This window comes from Homo sapiens, chromosome 5, assembly GCF_000001405.40.
Source record: "Homo sapiens chromosome 5, GRCh38.p14 Primary Assembly".
Classification (NCBI taxonomy): domain Eukaryota; kingdom Metazoa; phylum Chordata; class Mammalia; order Primates; family Hominidae; genus Homo; species Homo sapiens.
This window is the reverse complement of record NC_000005.10, coordinates 135,973,064-135,976,838: the sequence shown is the minus strand read 5'-3', so window position 1 is coordinate 135,976,838 and position 3,775 is coordinate 135,973,064. Positions and strand designations below refer to the sequence as shown.

Sequence of the window (3,775 nt, the reverse complement as noted above, 5' to 3'; positions counted from 1 at the left end):
GAAGGAGTTCAGAGAAGGAGTGCAGAAAATCTAAAAACAAGTAGGAGAACCTCATGGAGTGAGTAGGACTTGAGTTGAAACTTAAAGGATGGGAAGGGCATTTAAGTAGAAGGGAAGGAAGAGAAGAGCGTGTTCGGGGTAGTCAAAACTCATAAGGACGTATGGTGATGATTGGTACAGGAAGGTGTTTCAGGAAAGAAAGTGGGTATTCAGAGCCCTCCTGCCATGGCTTACCTCATTTATGGCTTTAGCCTCTAAAACTTCTCCCTTGTTGTCAGTTGGCTTCTTTCTTGCCTTTTATTTATTTATTTGCCTCTTTTCTAGTCTAGAACTCATGGTCAAGCTTGCTGAACATGTGCTTTAGCGACCTTGCTACCTCCTTGTGCTGTGGCTCCTGGGCAGCCAAACACTAGAGGAGAGGGCGCTGGGAAGCCAGGCTGTGTGGCAATTCTTTTGACCAGTTGCCATACATCAGCTGCAGTGACCAGCCCAAACGTGTTTAACTCAAACTCACATTCATTTCCTCGCCATCCTCACACCTTCTACTTACCTCATCTCGGGAGACTGGGGCTATTCTACATGAGCTCCCCAACGTACCTCGTCTCCACTTTAAATTGTTTCTTGATTTTCATTCTTTCTTCACCTGTGTCCCAAACCACTCCCTCGCATTTACACATCACCTCCTCAGGTGAGGCTCAATCGTTAGGTCCTCTGACTCTCCCATTTGAAGTGTCTCACAAAGGAGAGCACTGTCTTTGCTTTCAGGCATTCTGTGCTTTAGGTGAATGTGAAACATACAATGGAAAAATCTCTGTTACACGTATTCAGCCCCGGAGCTCCCGTGATTCCCAGAGAGTGGGTATTAGAAGTGATCCCAAAGAGACCGCCCCTGGGAAGGGAGAATGGATATAGATGACAGCCTCCTGGAGTCAAGGTCAAACAGTCATCACTTAACTTGTCTGAGCTTCAGTTTTAGCACAAGCAAAGAGCAAGAACAAATGAAGCAGTAAGTGCAGAAGCGAAAAGGTGCTTTGTTCTCTTTAAAAGAAGCACACTGAGGAATGAAGTCCCCTGAACTGCTAAATGGAAGATTTACATGCAATCCTTCTGCCTTTGGCGAGGCAAAGTTTTTTATTTTTTTAAACAACAAACTTTTGGGAAGAAAGGAACAAACTGCAACTTTTGACAATGAAAAAATATTCCAAAATATTTGATATTGAGCAACAAAAGCACTCAGCCATTTAATAGGTGATTGGTGTTTCAAAAACCATGGGTAAAAAAATCTCTTTCAGCTAACATGGCTCTTAAATGATCCATTGGAACAGGCTTTGTTATTCGTTATTGAAAATGTGGAGATCTCGCTAACCTGAGTTTCTCTCCCTTGGTGGGAGTCTCTCTGCTTGCTCCAGCATACCACCCACTCTTCGCTTTTCTCTGGTAGCCCTTCTGTTTCTGTATGGTTTGGCCCTGGGAAAATAAAGACACATGCAGAGTGCTCACAAAATGCAAAACATGCTAATGAATGTGGGAATTAGGGATGTTTCCCTGGCTCAATCCTTTCATTACGTCTTATTTTTCCTGTAACTCCTCATCAAAACTTTAAATTAAACAGGCCATATGGAAAAAGCTTTCAATGAGATTGTAATTAGGTATATAAAGCTTTCATAAATTAAACCAAGAACAGGAAATTTTTTTTGAAATCCCATGAAGGCACTCACAGCGGCAGGCTCCTATGGCACGCCAAGCTCTGCTCCTGTTCTAGTTCAACTCCTGAAGTCAAAGGACATAGTCAAAGTCTTGCTCCTGAACCAAAGGCACTACAATGGTTTGTTTGACGGTTAGCTCTCTGTGTCAACTTCGCTCCGCCATGGTACCTAGATATTTGGTCAAATGACAGTCTAAATGTCACTGTGAAGGCATTTGTAAGATGAGATTAACATTTAAATCAGTAGGCTTTGAATGAAGCCGATTACCCTTCATGATGTGAGTGGGCCTCATCCCATCAGTTGTAGGCAATAAGAGAAAAAAGATGGAAGGCCCCCAGGAAAGAGGGAATTCTTCCTCTAGACTGCCTTTAGATTCCAAGATGCAACATCACCTCCTCCCTGGGTCTCCTAGCCTGACACCTGCCCTGCAGAGTTTGGGCTTGCCACCTCCCACAACTGCATGAGCCAATTCCTTAACATAACTGTATTTATCTATCTACCTATCTATAAATATGTATAGCTCCTATTGGTTTTGTTTCTCTAGAGAACCCTAATACAGATGGGTGCTCTTTTGTTAATTGCAAGAGAAAACATCATCTCCAACAGAAAGAAACTGTCTGAACTTGAAATCACAGAAGATGTTTCCAGGCTAGGACTGTTACATTTTCCCTGAAAATTTCTGTTTACCCTGTTGCCTGGCTAAAGTTCAATTTAGGTAGGGTGATGCACTCTGAAGGTCACATTTTCTCTCTTTTATGTCCAGCAGATCCAACCAAGTTTCTTTCCTTGACAGTTCTTATTTAGCAATAACAGAAGGGATTGTTTTATATCTGATATATGTGCTCATAAAAAATTTTAAAGTAAACTTTGAAAACAGATAAAAACATGAATGTATTTAGTTCTTGCCCAAATGCTTTTAAACCTCCAATAATTAGTTCCCTATTCTCTCTCATAGCAGCCAGCAGAAATATTCCTGGAACAATTCCAGATCTCCCTAGAGTCAAATGAAATTCAGAAACTCCAACTTTATTGTTGGAAACAGGGAAGTAGGGGGCTTAGGCTTGGCTCCCAATGCCCTCTACAATGCTTCACAGGCTCAGTGAGCTACAGGACACCCAGCACTTCCTCCACTTGTCTCCCTTTTCCTGGGTCCATGCTCACCCTCATTCTCACCTCAGGGCTTGACCCCTCCCAGGTTCTCAGTCTTTACTGGCTTGCTTTCCTCCTTACCCACCTTCATGTTCTTTCTGTGCAGAGTTCAGTGGCATGCGCACTGCACACTGGGTGTGGGAATGACTGAGTTGTTGAAAGGTGAAGTAGTATTGTAACCAACTGTGACAGTCCTTCTTGCCAGTTTCTTCTTTCAGGAGGTATCAGTAGCAGGAGAGGGATTTTCATGCCTGAACTGGCTACCTTCATTTCTTCCATTATCATTGTTGAGTTACCACTAGCTTAAGATGTTCCACTGGCCTGAGTCAATCAGAACAATGGTGCCAAGAATGTGTGTGTTGTAACCTCTGGCAACTCTCTGACTATGTCTGTGTGTGGTGTAATTTCAGGGTTCAAAGCTCAGTGGACCAAACACATCTGTTTACCATGGTCTGGAGTAATGTAAGTCTGTTTCCCTAGGTGGCCCCGGGCTGTTTGCTTTCTGCTGGTCAAAGTACTAGCACATGGTGAAGCTAAGTGAGGAACTATGCCCACTACAGTTCTGTAAGTATTTGATAGAATGAAGATTTTCTATTGACTGGGGCTTAGTACATTCTGAAATCTTAGAACCACATGGTCAGTTTCCACACAAAATTCTCAGACAGAATTTTAAAACTAAGAAACTCTCATTTGAATACAACAGTTTTAAATAACGAGTAATTGTAGAGTCTCTTGATTGCCTATTTGCACCCAATGGGATGTAAAAAGCCATTTTTGGTAAAAGTTTGTGTCTAATTTAAACATCATAGGCTAGAGTAATATTATTTTATTTCATGTAAATGATCATCAGTCAGTTTTTTTGGGCCAAAAGATATGACAGAGACAGAGAGTTAATCAGTTCACAAGAATTCTTGAGAGCA

The 3,775-nt window shown here is 42.0% G+C and overlaps 3 annotated features.

Annotated features, from left to right (window-relative positions):
* Positions 1,052–1,553: an enhancer, noted in NCBI's record as "NANOG hESC enhancer chr5:135310975-135311476 (GRCh37/hg19 assembly coordinates)". NCBI's record gives its function as "activates a minimal SCP1, AML or CMV promoter by ChIP-STARR-seq in naive H9 embryonic stem cells {active_cell/tissue: H9 hESC(naive)}" and the evidence as "EXISTENCE:reporter gene assay evidence [ECO:0000049][PMID:30033119]".
* Positions 3,185–3,479: an enhancer, noted in NCBI's record as "tiled region #2274; HepG2 Activating DNase matched - State 5:Enh". NCBI's record gives its function as "activates a minimal TATA promoter and a strong SV40 promoter by Sharpr-MPRA in HepG2 cells {active_cell/tissue: HepG2}" and the evidence as "EXISTENCE:reporter gene assay evidence [ECO:0000049][PMID:27701403]".
* Positions 3,185–3,479: a silencer, noted in NCBI's record as "tiled region #2274; K562 Repressive non-DNase unmatched - State 22:ReprW". NCBI's record gives its function as "represses a minimal TATA promoter and a strong SV40 promoter by Sharpr-MPRA in K562 cells {active_cell/tissue: K562}" and the evidence as "EXISTENCE:reporter gene assay evidence [ECO:0000049][PMID:27701403]".